The 25,172-nt window shown below is 45.7% G+C and overlaps 1 protein-coding gene across 3 annotated transcripts in view, besides 2 other annotated features; it reads right to left on the bottom strand.

Moving 5' to 3' along the window:
- ADCY9 (adenylate cyclase 9) overlaps positions 1-25,172 on the bottom strand; it is a 163,056-nt gene that overhangs the window by 70,856 nt on the left and 67,028 nt on the right. The gene's annotated exons all lie outside the window — the stretch shown is intronic.
- Positions 814-1,315: an enhancer, noted in NCBI's record as "H3K4me1 hESC enhancer chr16:4075057-4075558 (GRCh37/hg19 assembly coordinates)". NCBI's record gives its function as "activates a minimal SCP1, AML or CMV promoter by ChIP-STARR-seq in naive H9 embryonic stem cells {active_cell/tissue: H9 hESC(naive)}" and the evidence as "EXISTENCE:reporter gene assay evidence [ECO:0000049][PMID:30033119]".
- Positions 1,316-1,815: an enhancer, noted in NCBI's record as "H3K4me1 hESC enhancer chr16:4075559-4076058 (GRCh37/hg19 assembly coordinates)". NCBI's record gives its function as "activates a minimal SCP1, AML or CMV promoter by ChIP-STARR-seq in naive H9 embryonic stem cells {active_cell/tissue: H9 hESC(naive)}" and the evidence as "EXISTENCE:reporter gene assay evidence [ECO:0000049][PMID:30033119]".

Below are 25,172 nucleotides of genomic sequence, written 5' to 3' on the forward strand. Positions count from 1 at the left end.
AAAGTCCTGACCTCATGATCCGGCCACCTCAGCCTCCCAAAGTGCCGGGATTATAGGCATAAGCCACTGCACCCATCCAATTTTTTAAAACTTTTTAATTCAAACTAATGTTAATCATATAGGAAAGTTACATATACGGTACAGGGAGTTCTCATATATCCCTCGCTCCACTTCTCCTAACGTGAATGTCTTATTGTACGACGTCAAGCACAGCTTGATAATCAAGAACAGGAAATTAACTAGACGATGAACTTGATTTGAGTTTCACCAATTTTTCACCTGATTTATGTTCCAGGATCCCATCCAGGATCCCACGCGGCTGGCTGGCTCTTTTTAAAGCCTACACAGCTCTGGGTGGCGAATGGCTCCGGAGGTGTCAGGAGTAGAAGCGGGGGCTCACTCCTGGCCTTTTGCTGTGGTCCAGGCAAAAGCTGGAGTGGCCTTAGGTCAGGTTCATGATTTAAGGTCTAGGCAGAACCGACAGGATGTGAACAAAGGGAACAAGGACACTTCCTGGGTTCCTGGGTTCTGCCTTCAGTACGTGGACGGATGAGTGAGACCAGAAGAAGTAAAAGTTTAGGGGGCAAAATCAGGAGCTCAGTTCTGGACCTCCCAAGCTGAAGATGCTGGTGACACGCTCAAGCGATAGGGACAAGGAGGTGGCCATACCATGAAATCAGAAGGGAGCTCAGGGCCAGAGATCCACTGTCCATAATATCACCAGGGAGAAGACAGCAGGTGGGGAGGCCTGGGAAGCAGCCTTGGAGCTGCAATGTTTTGAACGGCCAGGGAAGTGGGCCAGCAGGGCTCTGAGGAGGGACAAAGGGGTAGGGAGGGGGGCTGGGTGTGATGGCTAAAGCCTGTAATCCCAGCACTTTGAGAGGCCGAGGCGGGTGGATCACCTGAGCTCAGGAGTTTGAGACCAGCCTGGCTAACATGGTGAAACCCCCGTCTCTATTAAAAAATATATATATACAAAAATTAGCCAGGCATGGTGGTGTATGACTGTAATCCCAGCTACTCAGGAGGCTGAGGCAGGAGAATTGCCTTGAACCCGGGAGGTGGAGGTTGCAGTGAGCGGACATTGGTGCCACTGCACTCCAGCCAGGGCAACAGAGCAAGACTCTGTCTCCAAAAAAAAAAAAAAAGAAGTGGATCACTGTGAACGCTGCAGAGAGAAGATGAGGCCACTAGCAAAGCCAGCCTGGGTTTGGCCACTGGCCACGCAAAGACTGTCAGTGACCACACCAGGGAGAGGTGCGTTTGGGCGGCGAAGAGCACAGGCCAGGCTGGCAGGTTGGTGTGCGAGTGTGTGCAAGGTGGAGAAGGCACACGCGGTCAGTCCTTTGGAGAAGTCTGGCACGAGGCCTGCCGAGGAAATGGCCCGGGGGTGTGGCAGGGCGGAGGTCCTGTGCCATGTCCTGCACTGACCAGGGCAGCCCACGGGAAGGCAGCTGCAGAGAAGGCAGAACCCGCAGCTCCAGAAGGTTTGGGGCATGACCAGCAGAGGCCAACTTCTATTGTGAAGAAGAAACCGACTCCCAGACTTTCAGGGAAGGGGGTGTGTTTGGTCTGGTGGCAGTGGGGACAGCAAAGTAGGACCCTTGGGTGTGGCTACGATTGAGAGGATGTCAGGTAGTGTGAGATTCAGGCTGGTGTAGAATCACTCATGAGAAAGTATCTAAAATCTTCCAGATGACAGTGCTACCAGCTGGACAGCTGACAGTGGGCGCTGGCTCTTTCAAAACAGTGCTCCAAAGGCAAAGAAATAGCAAAGACAGAAGTAAGGCACTTAACTATTTGTTGGGTGAATATAGAAATGAATGAATGAATGGATGGATGAGCAGATACATCAAGAAGTTAATTCACAAATTAAAGCCCATTATGAAACTAAAGTAGAGGCTGGGCGCGGTGGATCACGCCTATAATCCCAGCACTTTGGGAGGTCAAGGCAGGTGGATCACCTGAGGTCAGGAGTCTGAGACCAGCGTAGGCAACATGGTGAAACCCTGTCTCTACTAAAAATACAAAAATTAGCTGGGCATGGTGGCGTCACCTGTAGTCCCAGCTACTCGGGAGGCTGAGACAGGAGAACTACTTGAACCCGGGAGGCGGACATTGCAGTGAGCTGAGATCACGCCATTGCACTCCAGCCTGAGCCAACAACAGCAAGACTCCGTCTCAAAAAAAAAAAAAAAAAAAAAGTTAATCCTGCAATGACCATACACCCAGAAACCCCAATCATGGATATTTACCCTAGAGAAATCAAACCTTATGTTTACAAAAAACGCTGTACGCAAATGTTTGTAGCGGCACTATTCATAATTGCCAAAACCTGGAAACCAACCTAATGTCCTTCCCAGGATGAATGGATAAACACACTGTGGTCCCTCCCCACAATGGGGCACTACTCAGCATCACAAGGAATGAACTAGAGACCCATGCAGCATCCAGGACGAATCTCAATAGCTCTAGACTAAGTGGAAGAAACCAGTCTTCAAAGGGTACATGCTGTGTGGTTCCATTTTAATGACAGGCTCCCAAAGGCAAAACTACAGGGAATGGATAGTTGTTGCTGGGTCGGCAGGGGCCTGGAGGCAGGGAACTTAAGGCCGATTCACCCTGACTTTTTAGAACTGAATCAAAAGGAAAACCATACCCAGGTAACAAAAGGATCAGAGGCTACTACTCCCTTTGCACCTCGTGGCAGATGAAAAATGGAAAGTACCTCTGATTGGTTCCCTCCCGCAACCAACCAGACTGGTCCCAGGCCAGGTCTTCAGGTGTAACGTTGCAACTTCACTTCAACCTCTGATTGGTCGCCTCCTGCAACCAATCAGACTGGTCACAGGCCACTCCTTCACTTACATAGGGTGTAACCAAGTAACCAATGGTAAACCTCTACAGGGTATTAAGGCTCCAGAAAATTCTCTAATCAGCCACTTGCTCCTGCTCGAGCCTGCTCCCACTCCGTGGAGTGTACTTTCATTTCAGTAAATCTGTGCTTCCCTTGCTTCGTTTTCTCGTTGCTTTCTTTGTGCATTTTGTCCAATTCTTTGTTCAAAATGCCAAGAATCTGGTTAAGAACCCAGACAACTTGTAGTCAAGACCCTCCACTGGTAACACCCATAAAGGGTGTATTAGTCTGTTTTCACACTGTTCATAAAGACTTTATAATTATCCGAGACTGGGTAATTACGAAGGAAAGGTTTAACTGGCTTGCAGTTCCCCATGGCTAGGGAGGCCTCACAATCATGGCAGAGGGCAAGGAGGAGCAAGTCACGTCTTCCATGACGGCAGGGAAGAGAGAGAGTGTGTGCAGGGGAACTCCTCTTTATAAAACCATCAGATCAACTGGACGTGGTGGCTCACGCCTGTAATCCCAGCACTGTGGGAGGCCGAGGTGGGCATATCACCTGAGCTCAAGAGTTCGAGACCAGCCTGGCCAACATGGTGAAACCCCATCTCTACTAGTAAAACAAAAATTAGCTGGGTGTGGTGGTCCATGCCTGTAATCCCAGCTACTTGGGAGGCTGAGGCAGGAGAATCGCTTGAACCCAGGAGGCAGAGGTTGTGGTGAGCCAAGATCATGCCATTGCACTCCAGCCTGGGTGACAAGAGCAAAATTCCGTTTCAAAAAAAAAAAAAAGAAAAAAAACCCATCAGATCTCGTGAGACTTATTCACTATCACGAGAACAGCATGGGAATGACCTGCCCCCACGATTCAATTACCTCCCACTGGGTCCCTCCCACAACATGTGGGAATTGTGGGAGTCACAATTCAAGATGAGATTTGGGTGGGGACACAGCCAAATCATATTAAAAGGTCAACCCTTGGGAAAGATTTTTGGGGGGTGATTAAACTGTTCTGTATCCTGATTGTACTGGTGGCTACAAAACCTATACATGTGTTATGATCCTTAGAACCGTATAGCAAGAGAAAAAAGTCAGTTCACAAATGATAATTAGCAAAATAAAATTATACGTTACCATACAATCTTGCAATTCCAATCCAAGCCTCTACTCACGAGAAATGGAAACAACTAAGACTTGCAAGCGATGTTCAGAGCAGCTCTGTTTATTACAGCCAAGACGTGGGAATAATCCACGTGTCCAGCAGCTGGTGAATGGATGGACACACTGTGATATATCCACACCACCGAATTTAACTCACGAAAAAGGACCTAAATACTTGATCTGTGCTACAATACAGAAGAACCTCAAAAACAATAAGCTAATTGAGAAGTCAGCTACAAAAGACTACAATAGTGCATGATTCCAATTATATGAAATGTCTAGAAAAAGCAAATCTATAGACACAGAAAGTAGATTTGTGGTTTGGGACTGGAAGCAGGTATTGCCTGAAACCAGATATGATGGACCTCATGGGATGATGGAAATGTTCTAAAACCAGATGATACCCTAAATTTTCTAAAAATAAAATTGTATACTTTTCACAGCTGAGCTTCATAGTGTGCAAATGATACCTTAGTAAAACTGTCTTTAATAAAAAGTGCTCAATTCGTTATCTATTTTCTTTTTTTCTTTTTTTTTTCTTTGAGATGGAGTCTTGCTCTGTCACCCAAGCTAGAGTGCAGTGGCGCGATCTCGGCTCACTGCAACCTCTGCCTCCCGGGTTCAAGCAATTCTCCTGCCTCAGTCTCTTGAGTAGCTAGGACTACAGGCACCTGCCACTGCACGCGGCTAATTTTCGTATTTTTAGTAGAGACGGGGTTTCACCATCTTGGTCAGGCTGGTCTCGAACTCCTCACCTCGTGATCCACCCTCCTCGGCCTCCCAAAGTGCTGGGATTACAGACGTGAGCCACTGCGCCCGGCCTAGCTATATATTTTTTAAAGTAAAACTTGATCCCTACCTCATAGTGTACACAAAAAATATCAGTTCACATTTCACGTGGATTATAGACATAAATCTGAAAAGTGAAACAATAGAGTATCTAGGAAATAATATTATAGTTTCATGACCTCAGAAGTAGAGAAATAGGACAAAAAAAGTCCTCACCTAACAAAGAAAAAAAGTGGATCAATTTTATGGTAGGCTGAACCATATGCCAATTGCCAATATTTGACCATTTCGATCTACAAAAATGGCAATTTCGTAGTAAAAAGGCAAAACTAGAGTGGGAGAAGGTATTTGCCTCACATATAACTGACAAAGGGCTGGTAGCCTGAATATAAAGAACTCCTCAAAATCAGTAAGAGGCCAGGCCCGGGGGCTCACACATGTAATCTCAGCACTTTAGGAGGCCAAGGTTGGTGGACCACCCGAGGTCGGGAGTTGAAGAGCAGCCTGGCCAACATGGTGAAACCCCATCTCTACTAAAAATACAAAAATTAGCTGGGTGAGGTGGCACGTGCCTGTAATCCCAGCTACTGGGGAGACTGAGGCAAAAGAATGTTGAACCCGGGAGGTGGAGGTTGCAATGAGCCGAGATTGTGCCACTGCACTCCAGCCTGGGCGACAGAGTGAGACTCTGTCTCAAGACAATACAAAACAAAACAAAACAAGCCCAACAATAAGAAAACAAAACCAGACCACTCAGTAGAAAAATGTGTAAGAAAGCTGAACAGGCACTTCACTGAAGAGCCAACCCAGGTGGCCAGCAGACATATGAAAAGACACTCAGCCAGGGAACTGCAAATCAAATACAGAATCACAAATGAAAATTACCAAAAGAAACTGCACCCACCCACCAGAGTGGCTGCAATTCAACAGAGTGACAAGCGCTGGTGAGGATGCAGAGCCACCCACAGGAACCCTCATACTCTGCTGACGGGTATGAGGTGATAACAATGTTATCACCATTTGTTATCACCATTTGTAAAACAAGTCGGTATTACCGATGGAAGTTGAAGACACTCACACTCTATGGCTCAATAATTCCCCTTCTAGACATTGATTTCGGCCAAAGAAATGCATGCAAGTGTGCACCAGGATACAGTACGTAAGTATTCACAGGGATTATTGTAAAAGTCAAAGCCCAGAAACAACCCATGTATCCATCAAGAGGAGGATCGATGGATACGTTGTGATATGACCGAGAAGGCACAACAGCAGTGACGATGAAGGAACCCCAGCGTAAGCAACAGGCAACAGGAATGAAGCTCACAAACTTTACACTGAGTGACAGAGGCAGCCACAAAAGAATATATACTGACCAGGGGCAGTGGCTCAAGTCCGTAATCCCAGCACTTTGGGAGGCCTAGGCGGGTGGATTACCTGAGGTCAGGAGTTTGAGACCAACCTGGCCAACATGGTGAAACCCCGTCTCTACTAAAAATACAAAAAATCAGCCAGGCATGGTGGTGGGTGCCTGTAGTCCCAGCTCCTCAGGAAGCTGAGGCAGGAGAATCACTTGAACCTGGGAGGTGGAGGTTGCAGTGAGTCGAGGTCATGGCATCGCGCTCCAGCCTGGGCAACAACAGCAAAACTCGGTCTCAAAAAAAAAAAAAGAATACACACTGCAGGTTCCATTTGTACGAAATTCAAACACAGGCAAACGCAATTTATGGTGCCAGAAGTCAGGACATGGTTACCTTTAGAAGGAGGAAGTGGGTAGCGTTGGGAGGGACACGAGGGAGGCTTCTGGGATATTCTGTTTCATCTGGGTGCTGGTTTAGTGGATGTGTTCCTTTTGTGATAATTCTTCAAACTGTACACTTATGCATTTTATGTATGCATATTACACTTCAATGCAAAATTTATTTTAAGAAACAGGAAACCAAACTCTTCAAAAATGCCAATAGCAGTAAAGAAAAAAAAATGTGCGGAACTGTTCTAGATCTAGATCTTGAGTGTCCTCTTTTAGGAAAAGATCATCCCTGATTGGATCCTGGATGAACACCATAAAAGCTCTAAAGGATACTGTTAGATGCTGGGGAAATTTGAACATGAACTATATATTTTATAAGAGTATTCTGTCAATGTTATATTTCTTGAGTAGGATAATTTGTTTTGTCTGTACAGGAGAATGTCCTTGTTCATAGGAGATACATGCTGAAGAATTTAAGGGTGCAGGGCCACAATGTCTGCAATTTAGTCAGTTAACGGTTCAATGGCTCAGCAAAGAAAAAAGAGGACAAATATAGATACACACACATACACATATGCACATACATATGTGTGTACTGTATTATATCCCATTCAGGGTTCTTGCACAAATGTGTGTATAATTATATTCACACATACATATATACACACCTACACTGAGACAGCCAAAGAAATTTGGCAAAATGTTAACCACGGGTCAATCAGGTGAAGTGGGATATTAGTGTTCATTATACTATTATTTCAACTTTTCTGTAGGTTTGAAATTTATCAAAATGAAAAGTTGCGAAGGCCAGGCACAGTAGCTCACACCTGGAATCGCAGCACTTTGGGAGGCCGAGGCGGGTGGATTGTTTGAGCCCAGGAGTTTGAGACCAGCCTGGGTAACATGGCGAAACCACTGGCTAATACAAAAATTAATCAGGCATGGTGGTGCACACCTGTAGTTCCAGTTCCTCAGGGGGCAGAGGTGAGAGGATCATCTGAGCCTGGGAGGTCGAGGCAGAGGTGAGCCATCATCGTGCCACTACACTCCAGCCTGAGTGACAGACTGAGACCCTGTCTCAATAAATAAATAAAATTAATTAATTAAAATTAAATTAAAAGTTGGAGAAAAAAGCAAAAGCAAGCCAAAAAACAGACAAGCCAAACACCCGACGCCAAGTGTTGAAGGACTCACAGTTGGATAAGAAAACCAAAAAGTCCGGGCGCAGTGGCTCACACCTCCCCAGCACTTTGGGAGGCCGAGCCGGGCAGATCACAGGGTCAGGAGTTCGAGACCAGCCTGGCCAACATGGTGAAACCCCATCTCTACTAAAAATACAAAAATTAGCCAGGCATGGTGGCCCGTGCCTGTAATCCCAGCTACTCGGGAGGCTGAGGCAATAGAATTGCTTGAACCCAGCAGGTGGAGGTTGTGGTGAGCAGAGATGGCACCACTGCACTCCAGCCTGGGCAACAGAGCAAGACTCCATCTCAAAAAAAAAAAGAAAGAACGAAAGAAAGAAAACCAAGAAGAGCAGAGACGGGACCACCAGGAATGGCAAGATCTGGCCCCCTGCGGCAGGTGGAGGGCAGGACGGCTGCTGGGTGGCTGGCTGTGCTCTCCTGCAACCTGCCTGGTAGATATGCAAAGGCGGTCACCTTATAACAATCAGATTGTACATTTATTTTACGTGGTCTTCCATCTATATCACACAATTTTTTTTTTTTTTTGAGATGGAGTTTTGCTCTTGTTGCCCAGGCTGGAGTGCAATGGTGAGATCTCGGCTCACTGCAACCTCTGCCTCCCTGGTTCAAGAGATTCTCGTGCCTCAGCCTCCCATGTAGCTGGGATTACAGGTGCCCACCACCATGCCCGGCTAATTTTTTGTATTTTTAGTACAGGTGAGGTTTCACCATGTTGGCCAGGCTGGTCTTGAACTCCTGACCTCAAGTGATCCACCTGCCTTGGCTTCCCAAAGTGCTCGGATTACAGGCATGAGCCACCGTGCCCAGCCTGTATCATATACTTTTTTAAAAAGAGACTTTACAGAAAAACAGACTGAGCAAACAGAGCTGCATGCCGGTGCATGAGCAACAAGTTATAATCGCACGCTGGAGGAAGAAAGAGGAAGCCGTCGGCCACACAGCTCCGCTCTGCCAAGGCTCTGCTGCCGTCCCTCACCCGCCCCACCACGTGGCAACCCAATCACAACAATGCCGCCGTCCCCCAGCTGCTAAATGCTCTCACCATTTGGTTGCTGTGCAAACACACCTAACTTAGACTTCAGACTGATGTCCTGGAGGTGCTACAAGATGGCCATTCTTTATGAGTAAGGCTGCCTTCCAGGGTAAAAATTATGATTTTCCCATAAATCACATATAAGCACTTAGCAAAAAATATTTAAAACTCTCATAAGTTTTGGTCCTAAATTCTTTTCTCTTGCTGTTACTACAAAAATGACAGAGACAAAAAATTTATTATTTATAACGGCTTGGAATCTAATTCCAAATGAGTTGCTTCCGTAGATTCACGTAATACTGCAGAACTAAATATGCAAGATTCCCGATTCCAAATGGAGGCCAAATTCCATCCACACAGGAGACAGAGGAACCCTCAGCAGTCTCTCCTTGAAGTAATTTTTTTTTTTTTTTTTTTTGAGACGGAGTCTTGCTCTGTCGCCAGGCCAGAGTGCAGTGGTGTAATCTTGGCTCACTGCAACTTCCACCACCGAGGTTCAAGCGACTCCCCTGCCTCAGCCTCCTGAGTAGCTGGGACTACAGACGCTAATTTTTTATGATTTAGTAGAGATAGGGTTTCACCATGGTGGCCAGGATGGTCTCAATCTCCTGACCTTGTGATCCACCCGCCTCGGCCTCCCAAAGTGCTGGGATTACAGGCATGAGCCTTGACAAGCTGACAACAGTTATCTATGTTCTTCGTCAGTTCATGGACTCGACACCAAAATGCCTGGGTTCAGATCCCAATTCCTGTGAAGGCTTAAGCAATTACTTAACCTCTTTGTGCCTCAGTTTCTGAGTCTGACAGATTATGGCAACATCAGTGACTTTACAGGGTTTTGAGGATTAAATGAGTAAATACTCTAAAGGGCTCAGATCTGTGCCTGGCACATATTAGCACCGATGCTGGCCTGTTCAAAAATTCTATTATTATTTGCTCAACAATTGCCTGAAAACATAGAAAAACTGTCTGCCACATACGCAGATGAGGGGAACAACGAAAGATTTGGTGGGTTTCAGAAGAGGTACAGGCCTGATGGCTGCCGTGCGCCAACAAGGTGAGCCTGCAGATCAGAGACCACGTGCATGAGCCACAGTGCATGTGGCTGCTGTGTCCCCTCTGCCTTCTCGGTCTTACACAAATGGTCTCTTGTGGCTCAAGTTACATACAGAGCTCCAACTTAGCCAAGGTGACGCAAAACGAACTCACTACACGTACCCCTTGTCAACTTGGTGTCCATATCTACTCCTCTTTTCAACCGTACTTAACTTCCAAATCAAGTAAATAGCAACTAGGCTTCCATGCCATATAATGCTACTATCCGTCTTACAACCAAAACCATGCTAACCCTCTCCCCAGAAGAGGAGCCAAAGTCCTTTTATGAACTTTTTTTGAGACAAGGTCTCACTCTGTCACCCAGGCTGGAGTGCACTGGTACGATTTCGGCTCACTGCAACCTCCGCCTCCCAGGTTCAAGAGTTTCTCCTGCCTCAGCCTCCTGAGTAGCTGGGATTACAGGCACCTGCCACCAGGCCCAGCTAATTTTTGTATTATTAGTAGGGGTTTATTAGATGGGGTTTCACCATATTGGCCAGGCTGGTGTCAAACTCCTGACCTCAAGTGATCTGCCTACCTCAGCCTCCCAAAGCGCTGGGATTACAGGCATGAGCCACTGCACCTGGCCCAAAGTCCTTTTACATTCTATCTGAGTGGTTATCCGTTGGCACCCCATGGAATGAAGAAGGAGACTGAAGTGATAACATAAGGCTGGTAGCTGACAGACCCCTGAAGTGTAACTATGAAGGCGGGCTGTGGACCTTGCCGGCTGGAAGCAAGACCCTTCTGGTCATCTTTACTACCAGGTAGAGAAGGAGAAGACACTCACCGCATACCAGGTACCAGGAAATGTGTTGATTTGTTCCAGCAACAAAAACACATCTGGCACAGCAGCTGTAACTGCAGTCACCGCCTAGTTTAAGTTTATGACAACCTGCTGTCATTCTCTAAGATCCATCCGTCTTCTAGACAAGCCAAATATGGATTAAACGGAGATGTGACACGATCACCACCCTTGCATCTTTCAAGTCCCTGATGGTGGCACTAATCTCTGCCATCCTCCCAGGAATGTGATAATTGCTTTGGGTTGACTATTTTGGTAGACAGAGGCAGTTCTGGCAGCTTCCACTTGGCCTTTGCTACCACAACAGCCCTCACTCCAGGGAACCAGTGTCAGAATTCTGCCAGGTGCTAAGTAGATATATATTTACTTATGCATTGCAGAACTGCAGAAAGAACCACAGGACAGCTATTATATCTTAATAATTACTTAATATATAATACACAATGATATGTGGGTATTAAATATTATGAGTCATTACTCTGAAATGGATTAAAGTTAATATAAGTGTAATTGCCATACAGAGTGATTATGGGTGCCCACTCAAAAGTCAGCCATACTCAATTATACACAAAAACACAAAACACACGTGCACACATGCTTAGATTGCCTCGCAAAGCCTATATGCATGGGAAGCCAATGACACACACGAGGAAAGATGGGAACACAGAGCTGCTTCTTGGTTTCAGGGAATCCTCACTTCTTTCTTCCTTCTCAGGGAAATTTCGCTTTGTTTCATGCTCGACCTCCAGCCTCCCAGGTCTTGGCCTTAAAGATTCCAAGGGGGCCGGGCACGGTGGCTCACACCTGGAATCCCAGCACTTTGGGATGCCGAGGCAGGCGGATCACCTGAGGTCGGGAGTTTTGAGACCAGCCTGACCAACATGGAAAAACCCCGTCTCTACTAAAAATACAAAATTAGACAGGCGTGGTGGCACATGATTGTAATCCCAGCTACTTGGGAGGCTGAGGGTGGAGAATCACTTGAACCCGGAAGGCGGAGGTTGTGGTGAGCCCAAATCGTGCCATTGCACTCCAGCCTGGGCAAATGAGTGAAACTCCATCTCAAAAAAAAAAAAAAAAAAAAAAAAAAAGATTCCAAGGGGCCCCAGCCCCCCTCCCTTCACTAAAGACAAGCCAGCTCCTTAGATCCCATGATGCCAGAGCTGTGATCTTCCAGTACACTGGAGAAGCTCCTTGTATCTTCCTATCTCCTAGTAGGCTGATTTCATCCACCAACAGCCACAGCACCTTGAAGCAACCCAGGAGCTGCTGTTTCCCGTGATCATGTGGTCAACCCTGGTCCTTCAAACTTCTTTCAGAACTCACACACACACCACGTCCCCTTATGAGTTTTGAGCAGAATGCTTTTTCTTTGAAAGTCTGTATTCAACACCCCCTTTTTATTTATACAAACTTGGAGGGTATGTGAGAAATTTTATGGCATGTATATAATGCGCAGTGATGAAGTCAGGGCATTCAGGGTGCCCATCACTCAAATACAATACATTTTGGTTTTGGGGTTTGTTTGTTTTTTTTTTTTTTTTTTTTGAGACAATCTCGCTCTGTCACCCAGGCTGGAGTGCAGTGGTGCAATCTCGGCTCACTGCAACCTCCGCCTCCCAGGTTCAAGCAATTCTCCTGCCTCAGCCTCCAGAGTAGCTGGGATTACAGGCACCCACCAACCACCCGGCTAATTTTTGTATTTTTAGTAGAGAAAGGGTTTCGCCATGTTGGCCAGGCTGGTCTCGAACTCCTGACCTCAGGTGATCTGCCTGTCTTGGCCTCCCAAAGTGCTGGGATTATAGGCGGGAGCCACCATGCCCAGCCACAATACATTTTTTGTTAGGTGAGAATATATATAATATTAGAATAATATTACTCTGCTCTCAAGCCTTGAACTTATTCCTTCTACGTTACTGCATGATGGTACCCTTTAACCGACTTCTCTTGACCCTTCTCCTCCCCGCCACTCACCCTTCCCAGCCTCTGTTACCCTTCTTGCCACTCTCTACCTCCATGTGATCAAACCTTTTAGCTCCCACATATAAGAACATGCAATATGTCTTTTGTGTCTGGCTTCCTTCACTTAATGACTTCCAAGCTGGGCATGGTGGCTCATGCCTGTAACTCCAGAACTTCGAGAGGCCAAGGTGGGACAATCGCTTGAGCCCCAGGAGTTCAAGACCAGCCTGGGCAACATAGTGAGACCCCATGTCTACAAAAAATAAACAAAATTAGACAGGCATGGTGGTACATGCCTGTGGTCCCAACTACTCGTGTGGCTGAGGTGGGAGGATCATTTGAGCCCAGGAGGTCAAGGCTGCAGTGAGCTATGATTGTGCCACTGCACTCTAACCTGGGCAACAGAGCAAGACTCTTCTCTAAAAAATAAAAATAAAAAATAATCATAATAATAATGACCTTCAGTTCCATCCATGTTATTGTAAATAACAGGGTTTTGTTCCCCTTGATGGCTGGACAGTATCCCACTGCATATACATATACCACAGTTTCTTTACCCATCCATTCGATGATGGCCACATTGATTCCATACCTTTGCTATTGCCAACATTGCTGTGATGAACATACAAGTGCAGGTATCCCTTTGATAGATCGATTTCTTTTCCTCTGGGTAGATATCTAGTAGTGGGATTAATAATAGCCATTGTGCCCAGTAAGACCCCACTTCTTAATATTATTCTCATATAATTCTAATAGCCATTCTGACTGGCATAAGGTGATATTTCCTTCTGGTTTTGATTTGCATTTCTCTGTGATGAGTGATGCTGAGCATTTTTTATTGTAATGCTCTTGACTAACTGTGCCACGTTTACAACTGTCTTTGAGCGGAGACCTGTACTACAGAGTCCTACACAGGGTTAAGGAGGAGCATCAGAAGGCAGTGAACAGACGTGAGGCCTATCAGCTGGTACTAGAAAAGAGACAATCCATTTAAGGCTTTGACTCATTTTTGAAACCTATGTGCTATGGTCTAAATGTCCCCCAAAATTGACGTGTTTAAACTTCATCACGAAGGGATGGTATTAAGTGGGGTCTTACTGGCACAGTGGCTCAACACCTGTAATCCCAACAGTTTGGGAGGCTGAGGTGGAAGAATCACTTGAGTCCAGGAGTCCAAGACCAGCCTAGGCAACACAGCGAAGACTCCGTCTCTACAAAAACAAAATTGTTTTTAATGAGCCAGACGTGGTGGCACACGCCTGTGGTCTCAGCTACAAGGGAGGCTGAGGTGGGGGGATCGCCTGAGCCCAGGAGGTCCAGGCTGCAGTGAGCCGTGATTGCACCCCTGCACTCCAGCTTGGGCGACAGAGTACGATTCTGTCTCAAAAAAAAAAAAAAAGGCAGTGGGGTCTTTAGGAGGTAAGGAAGAAGTCATGAGTGCTCCACCTTCTCAAATGGGATGAAGACCCTAATACGAGAGGGCTTAGGGGTGAGCAACCGCATGAAAGGCCTGAGGGAACGAGTCCGTAGCCTTTGCTCTTCTGTCATGTGAGGACATGGCACCAGACACCCAATGCCAAGGCCTCGATCCTGGACTTCTCGGCCTCCAGAACTGCCTCCAGAACTGTAAGAAATAAATTTCTATTGTTTGGAAATCACCCAGTTGCAGGTATTTTGTTGCAGCAGTAAAACGGACTGAGATACCGTGTCGCTGTACACTCTTTGCAGTATGAAGTCAGCATGGTTTCAGTTGAGAAAAGAGGAACAGAGTAGTTGGGTCTCATCCTCACAACCCTGTTTCTCTCCTCTCTTCTCTCGGGGTCATCACTCCCCAACCATCCAAACCAGAAGCCTCCAGGTCACTTTCTTCTCCTTCCTTTCCCTCACCATCAAGCCCTGCCAAGTCTCGCTGTGGAATCCACTACTTTCCTTCCACTCCCACTGCCTGAACCCTGAATGTCTCTCGGGCCCCAGCAAAGAGCTTCCAAACCATTCTCCAGGCTTCCAGTTTCTCCTCTTCCAATTCATCCTCCATTATATTATCACCCCATAAGCCTTGCTCTGAAACTCGTAATGCTTGCCCTTTTATAAAAATAATAGCAACAACATCTCCTACAACTAAGATTTAGAGAATACGGATTATGTGTCAAACACTGTTCTAAGCACCTTACACGCATTACCCTCACAGTTAACCCGCACCAGTCTGTGAATAGGTACTACTACAAACTCCTGCTAACAGAACAGAGCAGAGACTCTAACGTGGCATGCAAAGTCTTTCACTACCAGGCCCCAAGCCCCTTTCCACCCCCATCTCCCATGTCCTCCATCTTTGCCGCTTCCCCACGTACTTGCGGTGCTGTTTCTCAAACACCCACCCCTTTCTGTGTTACACGCCCTCATGCCGTTTCCTTGCCATTTTAGGTGTTCTGCTACTGTTTTAATTCTTGTCTTTTTAAGTGTTCCAACGACACTTTAAAAATGCTTTAAATGCAGGATTGCAGGCCAGGTGCGGTGGCTCACGCCTGTAATCCCAGCACTTTGGGAGGCTGAGGCAGGCAGATGTTCTGAGGTCAGGAGTTCGAGGCCAGCCTGACCAATAAGATGAAACTCCATCTCTACTAAAAATACAAAAATTAGCCAGGCACGGTGGCATGTATCTGTAATCTCAACTACTCGGGACGCTGAGATAGGAGAATCACTTGAACCTGGGAGGCAGAGGTTGCAGTGAGCCGAGATCGCACCATTTCATTCCAGCCTGGGCAACAAGAGTGAAACTCTGTCTCAAAAAAAAAAAAAAAAAAAAAAGCAGGATTGCACCCTTGAAAGTTAAAATTTTACTTTTGCTGAAAGGAACAATTGAGGTCAGGTGCAGGGACTCACGCCTGTAATCCCAGCCCTTTGGGAGGTCGAGGCAGGCGGATCGTTTGAGCTCGGGTGTTCAAGACCAGCCTGGGTAACATAGTGAGATCCCATCTCTACGAAAAATGCAAAAATTAGCTGGGCATGATGGTGCACACCTGTAGTCCCAGCTACTTGGGAGGCTGAAGTGGGAGGATCACCTGAGCCCAGGAGGTAGGGGCTGCGGTGACCCATGATTGCACCACTGCACTCCAGGCTGGGTGGCAGAGCAAAACCCTGTCTCAAATCCAAAAGAAAAGAAAACAAGAGAAGAGAAGAGAAGACCATTGAGCTTAACACGCCTTTTCATATAAATAACTCCAATGGCGGCATTCATCTAGGCTAAAATTTTGGTTTCTGAGAACAAATCATTTTGCTAATAATTCAGTGGACATTTATACTCAAAGATAGGCAGAGCCCCTAAATCTGCAGGTGCATGAAAAATTCAGGTGTAGGGACATTACACTACACAATTACCTCAGACTAGGGTAGTTTGTTGCGGTGAGGTTGGGTTTTTCTTTCCTTCCTTTTAAATTTTTACTTAATCAAGAAAGCTTCTTTTAAGACAAACACTTGGTGAGGTGGCCAAGCACTATCATATTTCCTGGTTTCCTCTTCTTCTTTACTTAACAAAGAACTGCTCATTAAAATGACATCTTCTTAATTTTTTTTTTTTTTTTGAGATAGAGTCTCGCTCTGTCACCCAAGCTAGAGTGCAGTGGCGCAATCTCGGCTCACTGCAATCTCCACCTCCTGGGTTCATGCGATCCTCCCACTTCGGCCTCCCGAGTAGCTAGGATTACAGGCAGCCGCCACCACACCTGGTTAATTTTTGTATTTTTAGTAGAGACGAGATTTCACCATGTTGGCCAGACTGGTCTCGAACTCCTGACCTCAGGTGATCCACCCGCCTTGGCCTCCCACAGTGCTGGTATTATAGGAGTAATGACATCTTTAAACTCACATCTAAGGAGTGTCTACTGAGTATAAGACATTGATTCCAGGTTAAATAAAGTATCTACACGAGTCTTTTCACCTATTGACTGAACTGTCTTTAATAATCACACTTGTGTAGTACTTTTCATTTCCATTACCTCATTTGATTTTCCAACGAGACAGGTGAAACAATTCTGCTTCCAGTAGACATGGGAGGGTGGAAACAGCAGGGCCACTACTTACCTGTAGTAGTCAGTTTTAAGTTGAAGGTAAATACCCCTTCAAAATTTCTGGATGGAAAAGACCACAGGAGATAAAGCAGAGAATCAAAGCCCAGGGAGGAAAATCATATAGGGGACATTAAAGACCAGCAGGGTCATAAGACTTCCCAAGAAATGGCATATTCTAGAAATAGAGCAAGGAAGCCACTCCACACTCATCCTTCTCTGAATTTCTACCCTTATTTTTTCCTTCTAAAGAGCTAGACTTGGGCTGGGCATGGTGGCTCACGCCTGTAATCCCAGCACTGTGGGAGGCCAAGGCAGGTGGATCACCTGAGGTCAGGAGTTTGAGACCAGCCTGGCCAATATGGTGACACCTCCGTCTCTACTAAAAACACAAAATGTAGCTGGGCGTAGTGGTTTACGCCTGTCATCCCAGCTACTTGGGAGCCTGAAGCAGGAGGATCACTTAAACCCAGGAGGCAGAAGTTGCAGTGAGCTGAGATCACTGGGCGATCGAGCAAGGGCGACAAAGCAAGGCCCCGTATTAAAACCAAAAAAAAAAAAAAAAAAAAAAGAGGCTCTTTCTAAACTTTTAAATCTATTGCTAAATTCAAGGAAGACTTGATTGCAGTAGCATTTAACTCTGGAATCACAAATAAAGTACTAGCAAATTCCATCTTCATATACTACTGCTTTAATGCCAAGCTAATACTTAAAAAAGAAAATGGGCAAAGAAAAAGAAAAAGTTGATGATTCATGAGTCTAAACAATTTTTTGTTTTTATTTATCTGATTTTTTTTGTTTTTTTTTTTTTTGAGACAAGGTTTCACCGTGTTGCCCATGCTGGAGTACGGTGGAGTAATCACAGCTCACTAAAGCCTCGATCACCTGGGCCCAAGCCATCTTCCCACCTCGGCCTCCCAAGTAGCTGGGACCTCAGGGATGTGCCACTGCCCCCAGCTAAGTTTTTTTTTTTTTTTTTTTTTTGAGACGGAGTCTTGCTCTGTCGCCCAGGCTGAAGTGTACTGGTGTGATTTCGACTCACTGCAACCTCTGCCTCCCGGGTTCAAGCAGATCTCCTGCCTCATCCTCCTGAGTAGCTGGGACTACAGGCGTCCGCCACCACTCCTGGCTAATTTTTGTTTTTTTAGCAGAGACGGGGGTTTCACCATGTTGGCCAGGCTGGTCTCAAACTCCTGACCTTATGATCCATCCACCTCAGCCTCCGAAAGTGCTGGGATTACAAGCGTGAGCCACGGCGCCCAGCTGACTCAGCTGTTTTTAAATTCTTTTGTAGAGACAGGGTTTTCCTATGTTGCACAGGCTGGTCTCAAACTCTTGGGCTTAAGCAATTCTCCCGCTTGGCCTCTCAAAGTGCTGGGATTACATGTGAACCAGCATGTCTGGCCTTCAATTCATTTCTAAAAAGAGAGGAAAAATATATGGCTTCTTCCCCGCCCCATTGTTATTTGATTCAATTATTTACAAAATGAATTCTTAGGATATTTTGCATTTTTATTTCCTTCTGAAAAATCAGTTTTTACACCATGACCTTAATCTAGCTAATTCTGTTAAAATAGGATTTAATTTTAGATAAGTTCCCAGAGGACCTGCATTCCATTCAATTGTTGGTTGAACTATATTTCCTAGTGACTAGGATTTATAAATATTAATTATCTGAAAGAGTGGAAATGAACATATAGTTATTTTTAGAATATACTGTGATAACAACAACAAAAAATCCTGCAAAACGGAGCTAGACCAGCGCTGACATGAAAATCCAACAGCCACCTGGCGAACTCTGTGTTCCAAGAGGTTTTTATTTACAGTGTAGGATGTGACTTTACCTATAAAATGCTTTCTGGCTGCCACTCCGTTTGGACGATTCCGGTTTTGGTCTGCTAACTTATCAACTGTATGATTTGGGCAAGTTCCTAAACTTCTCTGTGCTTCGTTTCTCCCCTTTGTAAAACAGGACTAAAAATATTAAAACTCGGCCGGGCGCAGTGGCTCACGCCTGTAATCCCAGCACTTTGGGAGGCCGAGGCGGGCAGATCACGAGGTCAGGAGATCGAGACCATCCTGACTAACATGCTGAAACCTCATCTCTACTAAAAATACAAAAAATTAGCCGGGCGTGGTGGCGGGCGACTGAAGTCCCAGCTACTTGGGAGGCTGAGGCAGGAGAATGGCGTGAACCCGGGAGGCGGAGCTTGCAGTGAGCCCAGATGGCGCCACTGCACTCCAGCCTGGGCGACAGAGCAAGACTCTGTCTCAAAAACAAACAAACAAAAAATTAAAACTCTTCCCTGTGGGGTTGCTTTAAAAATCGTATAATGTGTTATATGTAAACATAAAGCATTATAACAAGACAGAGGAATACACCACTGGAGCAAAATCAGAAGCGGTTCCCTCGTTTTTTCACAATGTGGAGTCTGGCCCGGCGCGGTGGCTCACACCTATAATCCCAGCACTTTGGGAAGCCGAGGCAGGAGGATCACTTGAGGTCAGGAGTTCGAGACCAGCCTGGCCAACATGGTGAAACCCCATCTCTACTAAAAATACAAAAATTAGCCAGGCATGGTGGCACGTGCCTGTAATCTCAGCTGCCCGTAATCTCATCTACTTGGGAGGCCGAGGCAGGAGACTCACTTGAACATGAGAGGCAGAGGTTGCAGTGAACCAAGATTCCGCCACTGCATTCCAACCTGAGCAACAGAGCAAGACTACATCTCAAAAATAATAATAATAAACAATGTGGAGTCTTTTATTCTTTGCCTAGAATTTTCTGTGCATTGCTGGAATGAGTATATCCAGAATTCATTCCAAAGTTAATTAAGAAAAGTACAGTTAGGCTTTGGTAAAACAGTCTGCCAAAATTTAACAAAAAAGAGAAGGAGAAGAAAAGTTCATTAAAAAATAACATCACTAGGAACTCTGCAACCTTGAGTGGGGCACTTAAGTGCCACAGACCTCAGTTTCTTCCTTTTTTGTTGTTTTTTTATTTTTGTTTTCTAGGCAGACATTGAATGCTAGTTTCTTCCTTTTTAAAAAAATGAAATAGCTTAACTAGAACCATCTAAACTACAAAGAATCTTTTTAAAATTCTAGGCCAGGCACGGTGGCTCATGCCTGTAATCCCAGCACTTTGGGAGACCCAGGTGGGCGGATCACCTGAGATCAGGAGTTCGACACCAGTCTAGCCAACATGGTGCAACCCCATCTCTACTAAAAATACAAAAATTAGCCAGGTGTGGTGGTGTGTGCCTGTAATCCCAGCTACTCCGGAGGCTGAAGCAGGAGAATCGCTTGAACCCAGGAGGCGGAGGTTGCAGTGGGCTGAGATCGCACCACTGCACTCCATCCTGAGCAACAGAGTGAGACTCCATCTCAAAAAAAACAAAAAAACAAAAAAACAAAAAAAAAATTCTAAAACACTAGGTTTATGAAGTAAATAATAAAATTCTGTGATAGGACGGAGCCATTTTCTTCCAGGCTATTTACCAAACACAGCAAAGGAAATCAAAAAAAGGCTTCCCATATAGTAAAACTTACATTTTGGAGATCTGGATTTCTCCATTATAAACCTATGGAATCAAATCATTTAAAATCTAGTTACCAGAGAAACCTCGGTTTAATATTAACAAACATACTTCCTTTAACCACGAGCCACTTTAATGTATATCAGTTTTATCTCTGGAGCTTCATAGATCCCAACAGAGAAGGCTGATCTATTTTCAGAGAAACATAGCAAGAGAGTGTCACTTCTGAACCATTATACATTTAAACAATCTCTCTACATGTAGAGCCTGCATCTAAATCCCAGCAATTTTTCAGGACCTAGCTCTGAGGCCACATCAGCACTCCAGGCAGGCGGAGGGACTCTCCACCCCGCCTCTTTTGCCCCCAGAAAATAAATCTTTCCCCAGACCAACAATCCACTTCCCGGCCTCACAGCAACGGGCTCCCGGCTCCCGCACGTGACTGCCAACTCTTTACGAGATGAGGCTGTGCTGGCTCGGTATGGTTGATAAGACAAGCATGCAAGAAATATTTATTAATGCAAACTCGTATAAATTCGTATCATCTGAGTTTATGGGAATGAGGATAAATCACAAAAGCATTATAAAGTGAGGCTTTGGACAAAGTCCTGAATGGAAGAGTCTAGTACCATTTTTAGAGCCTCTTTTGTTTTTTAAACTCCTTTTACTATCATTCCCAGCCTTGGTAGACACTTGACAAATATTTGAGGGGAAGCTGAGGACAAAGAGATGAAAATAAAGTGACTGCTATGAAAAAATGAAAGCCCAGGTAACAATAAACAGTTTAATCTCTGTTTAGTTAGGAAGGAGCCAAACGCGGCTGGGCACGGTGGTTCACGCCTGTAATCCCAGCACTTTCAGAGGCCAAGACGGGCAGATCACAAGGTCAGGAGTTCGCGACCAGCCTGACTAACATGGTGAAACCCTGTCTCTACTAAAAATACAAAAATTAGCCAGGTGTGGTGGCGTGTACCTGTAATCCCAGCTACTCAGGAGGCTGAGGCAGGAGAATTGCTTGAATCCAGGAGGCTGAGGTTGCAGTGAGCTGAGATCGGACCACTGCACTCCAGCCTGGGCAACAGAGCAAGACTCTGCCTTAAAAAAAAAAAAAAAAAAAAAAAAAGAGCCAAATAATTTTGCCTCCCAATTTGCTGCATCCATCCAAGAGGGGAAGATGGTCTCAGGCAGTAACTAGCTTTGAAAACCCTTGTGAATTTTTTGAGATAGGGTCTCACTCTGTTGCCCAGGCTGCAGTACAGTGGCGCGATCTTGGCTCACTGCAGCCTCGACCTCCTTGGCTCAAGTGATCCTTTCACCTCAGCCGCCCGAGTAGCTGGGACTACAGACATGCACCACCATGCTTTTTTTCTTTCTTTTTTTTTTTTTTTTTTTTTGTAGAGATGAGGTTTCATCATGTTGCCCAGGCTGGTCTTGAACTCCTAGGCTCAAGCGATCCTCCCATTTCAGCCTCCCCAGTAGCTGGGACTACAGTTGCATACCACCACACCTGGCTAAACTTTTTTTCATATTTTTTGTAGAGTTGGGGGTCTTCCTATGTTTCCCGGGCTGGCCTCCAAATCCTGGGCTCAAGTGATACTCCTGCCTCGGCCTCCCAAAGTGCTGGGATCACAGGTGTGAGCCACGGCACCAGGTCTGAATTTGTGATTCGTGTTAATGACGAACCTGAGCTGAGCCTTAAGTATCTGTCCGGAGTCGCAGAAGCAATCAGCACAGTGCCCAGCACTGAACCACGGCACACAGTGCCCAGCACTGAACCACAACACCCAGTGCCCAGCACTGAACCATAGCACATGCGCATTCCCCCCACGCCCCCGAACTTATATTCGTCACCATATGTTGTGCAGATCCACGAATGGGCAGAGTCACAATTCTCACATGAGCTTTGTAAATAAGGAAAAACTGCATGGGCCAGCACACGTTGCTTGTGTGTGTGTGTCCTAAGCACTGATGACAAATGCAGAACCAACAACATTCCCACTCATCCAGAGGAAATCGTGAGTTCTCAATGAGCAGGCTGGGAGTAGCTTAGTAGTCATTTCCAAAGCACTGTGAAACTTGTCTACTTCATGAAAAAGTACTGAGGCTGTTTTACAGCCCTTTAACTTAAATCTAGTAATTGTGCCTATCAGAGTTCTGAAGAAAATAAGACTCAATAATCTAAGCTACTAGTTCACGCAGATCATCTTAAAGCAAGATTTTCCACAGACCTCACATATCGAGGTGACATGATCCTTTTCTAAAATGAAAGAGCTTCGCTAGAGCCCAGAAGTTCGAGACCAGCCTGGGCAACATAAGTGAGACCCCGTCTCAACAAAACAACAAAAAAAAAGTTTTTTTTTTAAATTATCCAAGTGTGCTGGCATGCACCTGCAGTCCCAGCTACTTGGGAGGCTGAGGTAGGAGGACTGACTGAGCTCTGGAGGTCGAGGCTGCAGTAAGCTATAAGTACGCCACTGGACTCCAGCCTGGTCAACAGAGCAAGACCCAATCTAAAACAAAAAACAAAAAACTACGAAAACATATTCCACAAAAAAGATTTGTACATAAGGACTGTATATAAGATTGTTTCTAGGCAGACATTGAATGCTAATTTCTTCGTTTTTTAAAAAAAATGAAATAGCTTAACTATAACCATCTAAACTACAAAGTATCTTTTTTAAGTTCTAAAATATTAGGATTTATAAAGTAAATAAAATTCTATGACAGCATGGAGCCATTTTCATCCAGGATGTTTGGACACCCTTCTCCTTTTTTTGAGACTCCATCAAAGAAAGAAAGAAAAGAGAGAAAGGAAGAGATAAAAAGAAAGAGAGAGCTAGCTTAGCAAAAATCATCTAAACTACAAATTATCTTAATTCTAAAATATTAGAATTTATAAAGTAAATAAAATTCTGTGATGTGGTTTCTCTAGTTAAGGGCCTGGGGGACTTACACAGCTGTTACGAAGACATTATTTAAAAAAATCTTCAGTTCTCCCTGGGGGGCAATTGGATTGACAATTGCAATTCCTTTGTAACCAATGGGCTTCTGTGTGAGCTGTTAGACGCACACTGGTATTCGTTCAAGATGGAAAACCAAACAACATGGACACAACCCATGACAGCCTTCAAAGTTCTGTCTGCATGACCAATCAGGTCCTTTGGTTGAAATCCATGACCAATCAGGTCCTTTGGTTGAAATCCATGACCAATCAGGTCCTTCGGTTGAAATCTATGACCAAGCAGGTCCTTGGTTGAAATCCACGTTGGCCAGGCTGATCTCGAACTCCTGACCTCAGGTGATCCGCCCGCCTCGGCCTCCCAAAGTGCTGGGATTACAGGCGTGAGCCACCGCATCCGGCCAGAGTGTGTTGTTTTCTCATTGCAGTCCCTAACTTGCCCTGAACCCTCCCTTACCCAGGTAGCCACGAAGCATCTGGTGACTGAGGCCTGGGAGTGAGCCCTGGAGGTTCTGGCTGACGCTCTGCCGTGACCCACTTGGGGCTTCTGTGACGTCCCCTTCAGCCTGACAAGAGGACCCAGTTCTCCTCTGTGCTCACCCTGAACAAAACAGGTCCTAGTCTGGGAAGGGCGCCAAAGAGAGATCTTTTCACTGGTTTCTGTTCCCTGTCATTTTTGGGGGAGGGTGGGCTGGGGAACACAAACACCCAATAATTGGAAATTGTCAGACATACAAAAAAGAAATGTAATTAGTCATAAACCCTATTTTAAGGTTATATTTGCACTGCCATTTTAAAATGAGAAAACACTAATAACATTAAAATGAAGTCTTTGTTAAAAGTAACCATGCATTGTTCAAATTTCCATTTGTTCTTTGTTTGACAATGAAAAATCATTCTAAATTAGTTCCATACACTTACTGTGAAACACAACAGTTTATTCCTGGGTCACATTCTCCCCCTTCTGTGGTTTATATAACTTCTCTTTGTTCCGCAAATGGCAGTACAATGGCAAACAAAATAAAATGGAGTTTATTATGAAAATGGATCCATTAAGCTACCTAAGAATAACATAGCCCTACAACTCCTGCACTTGTAGAGGGACACGGGTGAGATGAAACGGACGTCAGTACCCCTGCAAGAATCACACAGATAGGCCCCTCGGTGCACCTGGAGAGGGAGGCCACAATGGCAAATAATAGGAGACACAGCGATGCCCCACTCCCTTCTTTCCCAAGAGCTGCCATTTCTGCCCTTGCTGGATAAGCTCAGTGTCTCACACAGCGTGAGCGTCCACTAGATGCTGGCTTGGACAGGCGATGCTGAGGGTTCCCATAGACGGCACTCTAGTAGGGCTGCTCAAGTCCCTCCTCACAATCCAGAGGATCTCACCTAGGCAGGGCCCATGGTCACTCCCCAGGAGAAGAGCCAGGAATGTCCCCATCAAGCAAAACCCCTGGTCTCCAGCTCACAACTCAAAACCCAAGCAAATGAAGGAAAAGCTCCTGGGACCATCAGGACTCATAACGACCAAGGGTCAGTCATGGTATCAGGAAATCGTAATCCTGGCTCAGAAAGGTTTTAAATACAGGGAAGCAGAAGGCTGGGGCAGCAAAGGACACTACTAAGAGCAAGCGACTCACAGGGCTCACCCGGAAGGCATTACAAACTGGAATTCCTAAAAGAGTGGTTGCCAAGCTCACCCAGAAGAGGAGGTCCCACTGGTCCCTGAGTCTGCTCCAAACGGCCACGCACAGCGTGGGCATCCTCTCCCCTGCTTTCCATTGCTGTACAGAACCTGACCTGGGACCAGAGAGAAGAGGGTCCAGGGAAATGCTGCTGAAGGCTTCGTCTCTGCAGTGGAGAGAAAGTCGGAAGGGGCAGCACCCACCCCTAGCTGCCCATAGATGACCAGGCACAGGCACCCACCACCGACACTGGCACAATCCCCCAACATGT

Source organism: Homo sapiens, chromosome 16, assembly GCF_000001405.40.
Source record: "Homo sapiens chromosome 16, GRCh38.p14 Primary Assembly".
Classification (NCBI taxonomy): Eukaryota; Metazoa; Chordata; class Mammalia; order Primates; family Hominidae; genus Homo; species Homo sapiens.